General features: G+C 40.3%; 1 protein-coding gene across 12 annotated transcripts in view; it reads left to right on the top strand.

Annotated features, from left to right (window-relative positions):
• The window catches only part of ATP10B (ATPase phospholipid transporting 10B (putative)), a 366,241-nt gene that overhangs the window by 131,632 nt on the left and 218,111 nt on the right, over positions 1 to 16,498 (top strand). For 7 of the 12 annotated variants that reach the window (XM_017009252.2, XM_047416995.1, XM_011534468.3 and 4 more), the window contains one exon: positions 11,926 to 11,993. Coding sequence is in view for 1 of the 12 variants with exons in the window: in NM_001366654.2 (NP_001353583.1) it covers positions 12,059 to 12,170 (112 nt within the window). In the remaining 11 variants the exon portion in view is untranslated. Of the gene's footprint in view, positions 1 to 11,925; positions 12,171 to 16,498 lie in introns of all 12 variants that reach the window. The other 5 variants (NM_001366657.1, NM_001366655.1, NM_025153.3 and 2 more) reach the window with 1 other exon arrangement.

Below are 16,498 nucleotides of genomic sequence, written 5' to 3'. Positions count from 1 at the left end.
TTAGCTTTCTCATTAAAATGTAGGTTTGAACACCAGCAGTTCCACTAGTTTGTTCCCTCCTAGTTTGTTCACACAGCATCTTATGCAGTCCCTCTACTAAATGAATAGTTGTTTAGTAAAACAAAAAGATTTGAGTATCTGTTATATGAAAGGCCAAATGCTAGGCACTTAGGGAACATGGAATATATAAAATATAGCCCCTACTTTCAAAGTACTTAGACTGGAGGCAAGATCGGCAGTGGAAACAAATCATTCTGAGATGTGATGTAAGTTCAAGAAGAGAGAGACTGAAAAAGTGCTGCAGAAGCAACTCACAATAAACAATTTAGCAAAGCTAGTGGTCTCGGGAGTGGAGGAACACAGGTGGGGATAAACTTGCAAAGCTGCTTTCAGAGCAAAAGGGGAGCTGGTACTGATGCAAAAAGTGAGAGTAATTCGTTGTGCATGCATCCATAGGTAACCTCCAGGGCCCTTGCTGTATCTGTGGGCCGGACACAGTGGAGCCACGTGCAGTGGGTATCTGAGCCCAGCTGTTGTAGCAGGCAAGGCAATCAGGGAAGATGCAGCCAAGGATGCCTTTCCCAGCCAGGGGTTCCTGGGCCCTGGTTTCTCCACAGGCTTTGAAACTAGATGTGATTAGTGAGTTCTGAAACCCCCTGACAACTCAGGGGGAGATTTTGCTGTCCACCCTTGGGTGCCCCCAAGCAGCTGGAACAGATTGTATGTGGAAGTTTTCTCTAGATTCCTGCCTCCTTCCCTACAGTTCCCACCCTAAGAAGATTGCCGTTTAAGCTCCAGGTTAAAGAAAATCCTGATATTCCTGGGGCAAACTGCACTCAATTTGTTTCTCTAACAGACAGCTGGCTTGGAAGAGCCACCTTTTCTCCCTTTCCTCCCCCTCCTCTGGATTCCCTTCTTGTCCTCCAAGTGCAGGTGGGAGGTACCTGTGTGAGGAGTCCACTCTCAAGATCCTCCCTTCCCATAAGAGTCTATAATAGACAAGACGTCAGAGGGGAAGGGAATCAGTTGTGGTGCAACAAATATTAAAAGGAAACTTTTCTCTGCAATTTGCTGATTAGAATCAAATGCCCTCCTGGAGGAATGAGATCCTTTGGAAGGGCGCGACCAGCTTGTAAATGTGTGGCAAGAAGACAATACTACCGCTGGGGGTCCTAGGGATGTGATGGGCCTTGTACCCTGAATGCATCTGGGAAAGAACTCATTTAGAAGGCACTATTTTTGAAGGTTGAGAGATAGAATACAAAGAAAGTGCTTAGCACAGTGGCTGCTACTTGCACACAACCAGTTACTGTCAGCTACTGTTACCCTTCCTACTACTATTATCAATGTTAATGTTTTCACAACGTTCGTAGTAAGTGGAACTCTCCATAGCTTCTTGGACAAGATTGAGCCCTTTTTAAATACTTGCTGATGTATTGGCTAAAGGGACTTGGAGAGGGTGATGGAGACAAGGAAGATGTGGATAGCTGGAAAAGAGAGTTCTCAGGGAAAGAGGGAGAAGTAGCGGTGGCCATGGAGAATGGAATGTGAATGGTAAATTCTTAAGAATGCTTTGTGGTATGATATACATAAGGGTGTCCTCCATATCTGTTTTTACTCTAAATATACATCAATTGTTAAAGTTCTTAGAGTTGGTGTGGTGAGGTCACTAAATGTGGTGACAGTAAAGCCTGGCCTCAACGTGGGGTCTGAACTCAGGGGGCAGAATGACCCCCAGTCACACCTGTAGTACAAGTGAGGACTGTGTTTATTTTCTAGGGCTGCCATATAAATTACCACAAACTTGTTGGCTAAAACAACAGAAATGCATTCTCTTACATTTCTGCTTGCCAGAAGTCTAAAATCTCACAGAGCCATGCTTCCTCTGGGGGCTGTAGGGGAGAATCCATTATTTGACTCTTCTAGCTTCTGGTGGCTGCTGGCATTCCTTGAGTTGTGACCACATCACATCAGTCTCTGTTTCTGTGGTCGCGTTGCCTTTTACTGGATCTCAAATCTCCCTCTGCCTTTCTCTTATAAGGACACTTGTCATTGGATTTAGGACCCACCTGAATAATCTAGGATGATCCTCTCAACTCAAAAGCCTGAAGTTAATCACATCTGCAAAGACCCTTTTCCCAAATTAAAAAAAAAAAATTCATAGGTTCCAAAGATTGGCACATGGACATATCTCTTTAGGGGCCACTATTCTCACCCCTATTCATTGTGACTATCCTGGAGCTCAGAAATGAGTGAATTGCTGCAAGTCTCAGTGCTAGAAAACAAAGGGGCCAGGTACAGAAACCTTAGGACAGAGATGGGAAATGACTTACCCAAGAGAGTACAGTAGACACCAATCTGAGTCAAGACTTCTCTCTACTCCAGTCTTCAATGGTTTTACCCATATGCATGATAATGTGGGAATTTCCTATAATGTTGGGAAGATATTCTTGTCTAGGTAGCTGTGAAACTTTAAGAAAGATATTTTGCAATTGAGATATCCTGTTTGAGACTCAGCTCAAGATATTCTTTTTCTTTTGATTAAGGATTTTTTTTGAAAAGATGGTTTGTAAAAAGATAAATGAAATAGCTTATGTACCATACCAATGCTGAAATGGAAGGATAATTTCCATTTATCATGGACCTCCAACCTTACAGTCAGTGAGAAGCATTTATCTTTTTACACATTCTTCCACTTATTCATTCAACAAATATTAAGGGTACTCTGCCAGGCAGTGTGCATAGTGCTGGGGAGACAATAAATAAGTGAGACAAATGCATTTCTTGCATTTGTGGAATATAATACAATATGGAGGAAACAGACAACAACAATAACAATAAAGAGTGCTATTTTGAAATTTGGAAATTGCTATTAATGAAATAAACATTGTGCTATGAGAGAGTATATTGGCAATGATACTACTTTAAGTAGAGGAATAAGAAAAGGTCTGTGAAATTTAGATGAGACTTGAAGGAATCCATTGGGCAAAGAGGCTGGAGAAGGCATTTCATTCCAAACAAAATGCCTTAAGAGGCAAGGAGTTTGATGTTTTTAGAATAGTCAGAAGACCCACGTAGCCAGAACTTACAACTGGGTGGGAAAAGTGAGGCTTCCTCTGTTGCAAAAAGGCTTCCTCCATGTGCCAAAATGTACCACCACAGTTTACTCCAGGATTATCTCATCCCAGCCCAGTGATGACAAATCAAAGAACTTCTATCTTCTCCTGTTTTCTAAATTCTAAATCCCTAAAAAGACTTTGATTGGCTTTGGTTTAAGTCAAGTGACTTCACTTGAAACAATCACTGTGGCCAGAGGAATGCAATTCTAAGAAAAGCCGGACCTGGATTGCCTACCTTCCGCTGTGGTCAGCAGCCCCATCAGAATCACATGATTGGAGCAGCAGGAAATCAGTTGTCCAGAGGAAACAGGGGATGCAGGACAGACAAGGCAGTAGACATTCACCATCCTGCTCAAAATGCAGCAATTCATTAACTGCTCCCCTGATCCTTACAAGCAGCGACATTGTCTGTCTAATTCATTACTGTGTTCCTCATGCTGAGGACAGTTCCTAGGACATATTAGCTCCTCAAAAACTGTCAATTATATGTGTGGGATACATTAAAAGAATGACATTTTATTACCATAAAAAAATTACAGTCACATGTCAATGACAGGGAAACATTCTGAGAAATATGTTTTTAGACAATTTATCCTGTACTAACATCACAGAGTGTACTTACACAAACCTAGATGGTATAGTTTACTAGACACCTAGGCTATATAGTACAGCGTAGTGCTCCTAGGCTACAAGCCTGTACAGCATGTTCCTCTATTGAATACTGTAGGTAATTGTAAGACAATGGTATTTGTGTATCTAAATACAGAAAAAATACAGTGAAAAGATACTATGAAAAAACATTTTTAATGGTACACTTGCATTAGGGTGCTTACCATGAATGGAGCTTACAAGACTAGAAATTGCTCCAGGTGAGTCAGTGAATGAGTGGTGAGTGAATGTGAAGGCCTAGAACATTACTGTGTACTACTGTTGACTTTATAAATACCATACACTTAGGCTACACTAAGTTTCTAAACAAATAAAGTAATTGCAATACAATGTTGTGACAGCCATGATGTCGGCATTAGGTGACAGAAATTTTTCACTCCATTGTAACCTTACAGGACTACCATCGCATACACGATCCATTGTTGATCAAGATGTTATTTAGCGTATGACTGTATTTACAATATAAATACTTCATAATGGATAGTTAAATTCTGTTACACCACACAATTGTTGAAGAGTGTTGGTCTACAGAGTGGAAATACTAACGCTTAAGCTGCATTACTTGCCAGGCTTCTCTGATAATTAAGTGCTATTCGATTGTAAAAGGCTTTGGAACATATTAAAATAAAAATACATACAGACACAAGGCATTTTATTGTTAATAGTCAGCTAGGAAATGCATGCTCAGCAGAATTGTCTAAATAGGCTCCTAAAGAGTATGGCAAAAAAAAAAAAAATGGAACTTTGAAGAGAAAGTTTCAAATGGCAAAAATACTTAGGCAGCAAAAAGACAATTTTCTAAAATGATGGGTTTGAGAAGAATGAATCAACAATAAATGTTGGTGCAAAACATTATTTAAGAATTCTGAACATACTCCCGATTAAAAATATTTTCAAGAGTGACTCCAGCAGAAATAATAAAATGCTAGGCACAAACCTGTTGCCTTAGCCCTCCTGGCTAAGCAGGATGCAAGAGCCTGACCCACACCTCCATCAAGTGCTCTGAAGTGCTTTGAGAGCATGGCATGTGTGTGTTCAGTTGAGTGTTTTAGGTCATGTCATTTTAGGGTTAACGTCACCCTCCTGGAAAAGGACAGGTAGAAAGGAAGCCAGACTTCGACCCACAGGCCAAGAGTGACCAATTACATTGATCATGTGGATGAATTGAGGCACAGGTAAACTGCTACCCTGGAGACTAAGTAAGCAGCTTAGAAGAGAGAGTGTGTGTATCCTCACATCCAAAGGTGGGTAGGCAATCTAGGGCAAGTAGACAGCAGCAGGTATTCCTGAGTCACAAGCTGGCTGGTTGGCTCTGCCATCCTTGACATGTGGGTTCCATCTCTGGGTCCAAGGTGACTGCTGTACTGTTTTCAGCCAAGAGAAAAGAAGTGGGGGAAAGAGTCCTGGCAAGCAGAATTGTCTTCAGAGAGGTGACTCAGAACCTGCAAATACCATGCCTGCTCATATTCCAGTGGCCCTAACACAGTCACATGGTTCCACGTAACCACAAAAGAGACTTGACTCTGAAGTCTCTAGCTGCACAACCAACATACCCAGATAACACTTAGATCCAGGAAGAGGGTTTATTTCTAAAATAAAAGGAACAATATGGATACTGGGGAACAAGATCACATTCTCTGATATGTCACGCATATATTGAGTTCATGCTGTGTTTGAGGCATTGTGGGAAATACAACTGTGAATAAAAGGATGGCCTGCATTCCAGAAGGCAGTAAATACGCTCACATACAGTAGCAATGCCCACATAAAATGGAGTGTGACAAGGGGTACATAGAACCCAGTTTATGAAAGTTTAGGGAGGGGGGGATTTATTTCCTCTGAGTAGAATTTAGGAAAACTTATTGGAGGAGGTAAGATTTGAAATGGGCCCTTAACACTGCATAGGACTAAGGTAGACTGGAAAATGGAGTTAGGAGAAAGGACTGTAAAGAGGGAGAGAAGAGCCTTTGGTCAGTGGGAAGGGAAAAGCTTTCATCCCAGCTAGAGTCATTTTCATAGCTGTGGCCCTTTGAGAACCATCCAGTAATCCCACAAAAATGACCACACGAAGGCTGATACTGTCAGTTTTCTCTCCAAGTCCATTCTCTTATTTCCTTAGTGATAAGAATCCTAACTTTTAGTTGAGTGTATTGTCCTCCTTAGCCTTCTATAGAGCCATATGTGATCCCGTGACCAAGTTTTGGCCAATGAGGTAGAAGTGCAAGTATCATAAACAGCTACTGAGAAGTATTCCTAAGGCAACAGCTTCCTTTGCACTTTCTTCATCCTGCTGCCTGTAATTGAGGTGTGATGGCTAGAGCTCTGATGGCCATTTTGGATCAGAAGAATAAGCACTAACCCTGGAAGTAACAGCAGAAAGTCAGAATCATCCTTCTTTCCTGGTGACACCATAGAACCACCATGGTGGAAGGCCCTGGACTGCCTATCTCCAGACTTGTTTGAAGCCAAAAGGATGACTTTAGGTGTTCAAGTCACTGTCATTTTGGGTTTTCTGCCATGTTTAATGACACCAATTCCTACTGAGCACAGGCAGGTTTCAAGCCGCACTTGCTCCTAGATCACACTTACCAATGAATAGAGATTCAACCAATAGTCAGCATATTAATTTCCTATTGCTGCCCTAACATATTACCAAAAACTTAGAAGCTAAAAACAACACAACTTTATTTATCTTACAGTTCTGTAAGTCAGAAGTCCAGCATGGGTCCTACTAGACTAAAATCAAGATGTTGGCAAAGTTGTGCTCCCTTCTAGAGGTGCTAGGGGAAAATTTATATTCTTTCTTACTTAGGTTGCTGGATGAATTTTGTTCCTTGGCAGTTGTAGGACTGCAGGCCCATATTTCCTTTCTTGCTTTCACCTGAGGTCTATTCCCAGCTTTTAGATGCTGCCCAGGTTCCTTGGCTCATGACCCCCTTCCTCCATCTTCAAACCAACAACAGTGGATCCAGTCTCTCTCACTTTAGATCTCTCCTCCTGCTTCTTTCATCATCGTGTAACTCATCAGCGCTTCTGCCTGCCTCTTTCACCTTAAAGGACTCATGTGATTACACTGGGCCAACCCAGATGATCCAGCATCATCTCCGAATCTTAAACTCTGTAACCTTAATTCCACTTGCAGAGTTCCCTTTGCCATGTGATGTAACATATTCCCCAGGTCTGGGGATTAGGACATGGGCATCTTCAGGGAGCCATTATTCTGCCAGAGAATACAAGGTTCCCTTGGCAACCTCATCCTTTTGTCAACTTATGATCTTGTTTCAACTGTCCTCCTCATTTACAGGTGCAATAACACAAAGGGTAATTTCTCCTTGATACTTATATATAGCCCTGACAGTCAGGACTCCTACCCAGTTCTAATTCTCAGGAATAAAGCAGTGTCTTTGAGCGATACCTCATATATCTTGGGAGTTGTGCACCAACTCATAAAAGACACCTAATAGATGTTTCAGGGGTTAGGTTTAAGGCAGAATTTGGTGACTTCTAGGAGTAGTTTTCTCAGGTAGATGTGAACTGGGAACCAGGGTTAAGACGAGGGTTTCTCTCTAACTTTCCTCAGAGCCAGACCTAAAATAGCCTAATCAACACTGAAAAATTACTTAGGTTTCTTGAGTGGGTTGCAAAGAACAACTTCTTTACAAACTTTTTTCAAGTTGCAATTGAGGATAGGATTGGAAAATACATGTATCATACCCAAGGCAGTAATTTCAGAGAGAAGAGAAAAGATAAAACAAATGTCCTTTAAAGAAAATAAGGTGACAGGGTACCATCCAAATTGTCTGGGTGGAACTAGGCAAAGGTCAGCCAATGAGTAGTCCTCTGGGGGATCAACTTGGAGATTAACTCTGGCCTCATTGTACTTTCTCCTTTGTGCACTGTAGAGGAGGGAAGCGCTTCAGTGTTAGGTCCCTGGGACAGAAGCTCGAAGAGGATAAGGAATTTGCCTATTTTGTTTTCTTTACACCCAATCTTCAGAATACTCAGCAAACATATACAGTATTTGCATGAATGAATGAATACATTGTTGATTGAATGACTGCTTGATTGGTTAACAGATACCTAAGTCCTCCTTTGGTTCCCCATCCCCAACCCCCTGCTGGGCTATATTGCCTAGAAGTTAAACCTTGTGCTTTAGAATGAGACATGAACCTAGGTCTCACCTCCACTATCTATTCTGCCAATGTGTTCCCTGGGAACTTCCTTGAGTCTGTTTCCTGTCTGTAATCTGTAGCCAATAATTACGCTTGGCATTGTGAAATTTCATTAAGATAATAGATGCAAAGTGCTTAGCACAGTGCCTAGCAGTACAGTCATGTGCCACAAAATGACATTTCGGTCAACAGCAGACCACAGATACAATAGTGGTCCCATAAGATTTTACTACCATATTTTTATTGTACCTTATCTATGTTTTTATTGTAACTTTTCTATGTTTAGATACACTACTTACTATTTTGTTACAATGACCTACAGTATTTAGTAAAGTAACATGCTGTACAGGTTTGTAGTCTAGTCACAGTAGGTTAGACCATACAGCCTAGGCGTAGAGTAGGCTTTACCATCTGGGTTTGTGTAAGTTCACTCTATGGTGTTTACACAATAAAAAAATCACCTAATGATGCATTTCTTAGAACATATCCCTTGTTGCATGGCTGTACTCAAATTTGTTAGCACTTAATGTTAGTTCAAACCCACTTCTACTGCTAAAGGGGTCTCCCGGTGATGGTCAAACTGAATTCCCAGCCTACATGCCTCTACTTGAATCAATTGGCCTGTCTCACCAGCATTTCATCCACATGTATGGGTGCATGTACATGAGGTGTGTGCACTCATGTATGCATGCACATAAATATCAAGGGGCCAAAGTAAATGTAAATGCTATCTTCTCCATGAAGCCAACTATTGAGGCCCTAGTCAGAATTCATCTCTCCACTTTAGAATTTTTGAATGTCGATTAAGCCATCTTTGTATGTATCACATACCGATGCCTAGCACAGTGTCTGCCATAATATAGAAACCTAACTGTTTCTATATTCATCTGCTCATTCATTTTGGATGAATGAGTGGATGGATGGATGGTGGATGGATAGAAAGTTAACTTACTTATGTTCTCTGGCAGCTCCACAGGGATTTATTTATCCTTAGGCACACAACTAGTCAGCACAGTGCCTTACCCACTGTAGCTATTCACTAAATAGTGGTTGGATGGTGATAAAGGAGAAGAAAAATTAGAAAACCAAGACCAATCCCCACCTGGAATCATTCTCCTTTCAGGGCATTCTATTGAAAGGAGTTATTGAGAAGAGAGGCAGGGAGTTGACAGCCACCCTCTGGACTCTCTCCCAGGGCCTTTTTAGAACAGGAAAGTTAATTATGGAACCAGATTAACAGTTTCTTTTTTGATACAGCCAAAGTAAAACCAGCAGGATGCAATTTAGCTCTTCCCCACTTTCCAGATAGCAGCAAATTTTCATACAAAACAAAGAGACACTTGAATTGCAAATTACTTAGAGACTCAGCTAGCAACCCCAACGGAAGAATATTTCTACTTTCAAAATCCGCTGTTGCCTTTTTAGGTTTAACCATGTAGTGGGACCTTCACAAAGGCCTGGGCGTCTTGCTGTTTCAACTGTTGGCCAAGTGGGGAGGAGGAGCAATTCATTAAGGTTTACTGGAATGTCCCAGGGTGAGCTTTTTGCTCAGAACATTTTCCTCTTCTCCAGACTGTCTGTCTCTAACTCTCAGAGCACCAGCCTCTACTCACAGAAATGAGGGCTAAAGGGTTTCTAGAGGTCATCTCACTGGAGAGTAGGAAAAGCAAATGCCTATAATGGCAAGGGGAATGTAACAAATAAAACAGGTGGTGAAGGTGAATGTATGACCTCTAGGAAGTAGATGAGGACAGGGGCAAAACTTTACCCCATCTAACCATCACTGGACCATTAGTGATTGTTGCTAGACAGTTCCAACAAGTCTGTAATCTGGATTGTTAATTGAAACGTTCTTCTTAGCTGTTGGCATCTAATTAATAAGGGGGAATAATACCGTCTATTAGCTGGATACGGACTATGGGGCCACCAGTTTATAACTTCTGATCTAGCACACACGGCTTCCTTATTTGATAGACAGGGAAACCAAGGTCAAGAGACAGAAATAAAAGTATAAAAGATCACAGAGTGTCCCAATCTTCTGACACCTCCTCCAGTGCCTAGCTGATTCCACCATACAGCCTCCCCAAATTCCTGCCCCCCACGCAGGACACGGAAGCTTTACTTTCACAAGAGCATTTATTAACTTATTTTTCTGATTTAAATAAATAATTCCTATTTTCTACAGAGGACTTGGAAGATTTAACAAGGATAAGAGAAAATTAAAAAGTCTCACAGCAGTGCCATTTTATTTATGGAGGAACTGGAGGCTAAGATGGAAACCTAGCTGGACCCAGGCTGCTTCCAGACACGGCCACTGGAGGGCAAGGTGGCATCTCAGTTGGCTTAGCCAACAATAACAGGTTGTAGGAAGGTTAGGGCAGGGGTTGAAAACACAGCCAGGTACGTGGCAGAAGTGAGTAAAGGAGGACAGATCAGGAAATACGGTGAACGAAGTAAATGTGCCCTGCCTGAACCCTGTAGACACCACTCAGATTCAGCTTGTGTCCTTGTGTGGGAATGCAAATAATGTTGACAGCCTTTTGGAATTTTTTAATGTGAATCTTGAAATCTACCCTTTTTAAGTAAAAATTTTCAATGTGTGAATGTAGTTCAAATAATGTGTGTGTGTGTGTGTGTGTGTGTGTGTGTGTGTGTGTGTGTGTCTGTGTCAAAACCCTTCAAGGAGCAGGATTTGGGCTATGGACTTTCTCTTTGTGAACTCTGTTTAGTGACTCACTGAGAATGAACTGGGCCCTAGGCAGGTCAGTCAGCTGGGTGGAGAGTTTGTTTGTGATTAGTCACAGGCCACCAGAGAGCTGTCATGCAGATGACCAAAATCAGGGGGACAAGACTGAGGAGGCCGAGGCTGTCCATTGACTTAGTTCAGCTGTCCCCTGGAGAGTGAGGGCTTCAACAAGAACCAGGCTGCATCTTGGACAGACCCTATAGGGAGATCTTCTGCCCAAATCTAAAGCACCTACCGTGGCCTTTTATAGAGTATGTGTGTGTGCATATGCATGTGAATAATCTTTACCTTGCTAAAATAATATAGATTATCTCCCTTGGTAGCCTTGTGGAAGACAACTTCATTGTCTCCAAAGTGGAAATGTTTAAAGTCAGTAAAGTTAGCAATGAGTGTGTCAACTCTTTCCTGTAATGAGTTACTGTAATGAATTACTGAAAGAAGTTAGGCAGTAGAATGGAATGGAGGGAGCCGTTGAATAGGAGTCTTGAATTTTCCCACCCTGCCCTCTCTCTTGAGCTTCTATTTCATACTCTATGAAGTGAAAATTATGATAACTGCCCTGTTTTCTATATTGGTGAGGATTTTTTTAAAAAGAAAAACAGAAAACCCAATGGCTTAAGAAAACAACAAAAACTAGCCTAAGCAGAGAAGGGTATGTATAGTTCACACAAGTGAAAAGTTCAATCATAGTTAAATCTGGGGGTCCAAATAACATCAAAGCTAGGTACCTCTCACTCAAAACTGCAGTCTTGATTTCCCATGTTGGCTTCCAGCAGCTCTGGGTCTCCATCTTCATCATTGCAAATACAGTAGAAAGAGACCTTCTACTACATTTTCAACACAAGTTTCAGAACTGACTTTCATTGGTCTGAAATCCCATATCCATTCTGAAACCAGTCAATGTGACAAAAAAGATGAAATGCACTGAGTGGCTGGACCAGCACACATTTCATGGAGCAATTAGGCATTTAGCTGAGGATCTCTGGGACCATAATTTGCATTCTGTATGGTGGCAGATAAAGTAGCAGACCTGATTCCCTGGCAGAAATAAAATGTTTCTACTGAAACAACTTCCTGGGAATCTATTCCACTTGCTCTATAAAGTGTGTCTAAAGCTAAAGCCATCCAGTTAAAGAGAAAAGGGCAAAATACTTGATTATTGCTGATACTAAAATGAGATTGTATATTTTGTATTTCTTTTCTGTCCTGTGTCGTGCAGGCTTCCTTTGACAAGAGAATCAGAACCGACTGGTGACATTTGTTTCAATGAAAGCAACAGTGTGAAGAGTAAGTAGTTTTTCCTATTATTCATCTCACTCAGTGGAGATAATGAACTCCTCTCCACTGCCAAGATGAGAAACTACCATTTCTTACACATGGACACAAAGATGAGAACAATAAACACTGAGACTTCAAAAAGGAGGGAAGGAGAAAGAGGAACAAGACTTGAAATCTACCTATCAGGTACTATCTTTACTTCTTGGGCAGTGGGGTCATTAGAAGCCCAAACCTCAGCATCACTCAGTATACCCATGAAATAAACTTGCACATGTACCCTCTGAGTCTAAATTAAAAAAACAAAACAAAACAGAACAAAAAAAACACCACCGCTATCTCTTCCTCCAACCCAGTAAAATAAACGTCAGCTGATCTGGTATGTCAGATGCCAAGTAAATGGTTTAAACTTTCTCCATTGTATATATTCCCCAGACAACATAGGACCTGTCAAATTATATATCACTTAAGATGTGCTATTGGCTGCAAGTAACAGAAAGTACAGATTCAAGGTGGCGTAAATAACAAGAAAAAAGTTGTTGGCCCTCATAAGAAGTCCCAAGGTAAGAGAGGTCCATAGATTGTCAATGGAGTAAATCAGTAATATTACCAAGACTTGGATTATGACCTCTTCAGTGGGTTGTCTCTTTCATCAGTCTCCAGCAAACTTCCTCTCACATTTATTGGCCAGAAATGTGTTACACACCCTTGCCTAAACCAGTCCTTAGCAAAGCAAATGGAACCACCATGATTGGTTTAGAATAACTGTTAGTCCCTTCTTGATGTTAAGAATGGGACTCACATTCCCTGAACTACATGGTTGTGTGGAGAAAAGGGGATATATAAACAAAACTAAAATCTTATTAGAAAGAAAAAAGGAAGAAAGAATAGTGATTGTAAAGGCAATCAATAGTATCTACTATAAGATGATACTATGAAAATCTCAGCAGTGCTTCCTCTAAGAGGAAAGCTTATAAAGGTACTCAAGTTCTAAGACCTCACATACTCCATCATGGCAGAGAAAGCAGGCACAAGCCTTGGCTAACCTCCCCTCTAGTCATGGGTAAAATGAAAGAAATACTTAGACTCTAGATATAAAACCCAAGGCATTATCATTATACCATATGCAGACTGTTTCTCCAATTTGCATAATTATAAACTCCCCCTCAAAGAGTAAACATCACTGCCAACTTAAAAACAACAACAACAACTACAAATAACATTAAATATGCATTGCTAATTTGACTTTCTAATTTGTCTGGGCTCTTCACAAAGATGTGCATAACTCCGCAGATACCAACTGCTTAAGAAAATCCTCCACCTGCCTGAAAAGGCATCAACAGGAAAAGAAAAGCTAAAAATTAGTTTTTTAGATAAGAATTTGAGTTGTTGCCTGAAAATTACCTGCAGTAGTTCATTCTATTAAAAAGGACTCTCAAATTCATTGTCCCAAGCATTGCTTACCACCATTCAAGTATAGGCAATTGCTTTGTGCAGCCAAAAGAAGATAATTTTGCAAGATCTCACCATTCAGTTTTAAGAGTCTCCTGTGAGCTGTGTATGGCCTTATATTTGGTCATTTATAGGAAATAATCCAAGAGTTTCAGAAAGACTTTTCTGTCTCAAAATCTGTCTTTTATTGATCTGCCTCAAAGATCCACACCACTTGGGCTTCGAAGCTTTGAGCTATAGTACAAATATGCTACCTGGCCAAGGTGGATTAAGCTATTATTATTTTCCTCAATTTCAGTTCCCTGATGAGCCGCGATGATAAGTGGGACACAGGATGTGTATATGCATAGAGGCAAGTCCTTCTGCAAGAATGGCCATAATCAAAAAATGAAAAAACAATAAATGTTGGCTTGGAGGCGGTGAACAGGGAACACTTCTACACTGCTTGTGGGAAGGTAAACTAGTACAACCACTATGGAAAACAGTGTGGAGATTCCTTAAAGAACTAAAAGTAGAACTACCATTTGGTCCAGCAATCCCACTACTAGGTATCTACCCACAGGAAAAGAAGTCATTATACGAAAAAGATACTTGCACACACGTTTATAGCAGCACAATTTGCAATTGCAAAATCATGGAACCAACCCAAATGCCCATCAATCAGTGAGTGGATGAAGAAACTGTGGTGTGTGTGTGTATGTGTGTGTGTGTGTGTGTGTGTGTGTGTGTGTGTATCATATATATATGATATATATATCAACCATATATATCACCCATATATATAGTATATATATGATATATATCGATCATATATATGATGGAATATATATATGATATATATATATATATGTGATGGATATATCTATCCATGGATATATCCATGGATAGATATATCCATCACATATATATATATATGATGAAATACTACTCAGCTATAAAAAGGAATGAATTAACAGCATTTGCAGTGACCTGGATGACACTGGAGACTATTAGTCTAAGTGAAGTAACTCAGGAATTGGAAACCAAACGTCGTATGTTCTCACTGATATGTGGGAGCTAAGCTATGAGGACACGAAGGCATAAGAATGATACAATGGACTTTGGGGACTTGGGGTGAAGAGTGGAAGGGGGACAAGGGATAAGACTACAAATATGGTGCAGCGTATACTGCTTGGGTGATGGGTGCACCAAAATCTCACAAATCACCACTAAAGAACTTATGTAACCAAACTGTACCACAATAACTTATGGAAGAAAATAAAAAATTTCCTTTGAATTAAAAAGTTCTCCTGGAGGAGGCATACAACTTACATGTGTATATGTAATTTGTAATATATGTGTATATATACTTCTATATAATGGAAATACCTGTTATGTATAAACACATAACACATATGAATACAATGTTACATAGTGAGATCCTTTTATACAAGCTATTCTCAAACCCGCTTTGTGAACTCAATATTATAGATATCTTTCCTTTGTAGTTTGTGTGTGTGTGTATGTACATGTCATTTTTTGCCATTGATTAGTATTGCACCTCAGGAATTAATGATAATTTCTTTACTCAATCCTCTTTTAAACTATACCTGTCATTCTTAGCTATATCATCACTATTTTTAATTACATCAAAACATTCTTCTGCACAGAGATATTTCTCTGCACATATTGCTGTCTCTTTAGTAAGCTCCTTGAAGAGTCATTGCTAGGTCAGGTATGGGAGGGAAGAACCATAGAGGACTAGAATATTGATACTGCATGATCCCTTCTGGGGGCTCAGATACGCCTGTGAGGCTGGGCTCCTAAAGTGAGTGAGTGTGTGTGTGTGTGTGTGTGTGTGTGTGTGTGTGTGTGTGTATGGAGGAAGAAAATGGGAACAAAGTGCAATAAATGTAAACTTTGCTGATGCCACATTTTTACACCGAGTTGTTACAGAACAATAAGAAAACTGCTGTTATTGCAGACAACCGTTAGATTTGTTTTAGTGTTTACTTCAGCAACGTCTCTCTGTGCCTTGTCTAAACTGTAAACACCCTGTGGGCAGGAGCCAGTTCTGGTGGTTGTTGCTGTTACTGACCAATATATACCAAGTGTTTAATATATTTACATTACTGCGTTTCAACATTTTTTGGTGAAAGAGTGAATAAATTATATAGAAAATATTTCCTGAAAGGAAGAGATTTGCAAGAAACTTCCTAAAGAGTGGCATTTCTAGGGAATCTATTATCTTCCCAATCTCCTTACTCAACCCCCAGTATCTCTTTTGTATATAATACTTTCTATCCCACAGCAATTGAAATGTAGAACCATACAATTTTAGGCATTACTCTACTGTTTTAAGGCAAAAAATAATTCTGCCTCAGAAAGTATTGTATAAGGAGCAGGTTGTAGTAAATGGACCATCCTTGTCAGTCAAGAGTTTATCTTTAATGTAAACCACTCAACCCTGGCCTCAAGGTCAACCTATTTTTATGGCCAGCATTTGATTTATTTTTATATTTTACTTCCATTTTTAAACAAGATAGGTTGCTGTGCAATTATGAAAATTAAAGTAGGAATAAACTTGGACATGTGACTTTATACTGAATTCTATAGATTGCAAAATGGATGGGTTCTGTTATGTTGTGCCAGTATGAGTTGCTCCAAAACACACTGGAAAATGAAATATTTTTTCTCTTTCCATAAATGATATTTATTTGCCTTTTCTATTTCCAAAGATGTTTTCTATCATATCATTCAGGATCTTACCTAAGTTTCTTGAATTCTTGTCATCCTTCCCAGAGCAGCAAGGGTGGTTTTCAATTTCCCTAACTCACTTAATGTCTGTCTGGAGTTCTGTGCCCACCAAAAGAGCTAACTGAACAAACACCCTGTACCCATCACAAACCGACAACACCACAGGCTCCTGGACGTAGAGCAGCATTGACCTAAAAATCTTTCAAACATCCCCAAGGCAAAAGGGCGATTGCTATTTGGCAATTCAAAGTGAGATCTGCAGACCAACAGCATCCACAGCACCTACTACTTCCTTAGAAATGCAGAATTCTAGGCCTCACCCAGACCAT

Source organism: Homo sapiens, chromosome 5 (genome assembly GCF_000001405.40).
Source record: "Homo sapiens chromosome 5, GRCh38.p14 Primary Assembly".
Classification (NCBI taxonomy): domain Eukaryota; kingdom Metazoa; phylum Chordata; class Mammalia; order Primates; family Hominidae; genus Homo; species Homo sapiens.
Note: the sequence above shows the minus strand (reverse complement) of the source record. Positions and strands in the feature narration are given on the sequence as shown.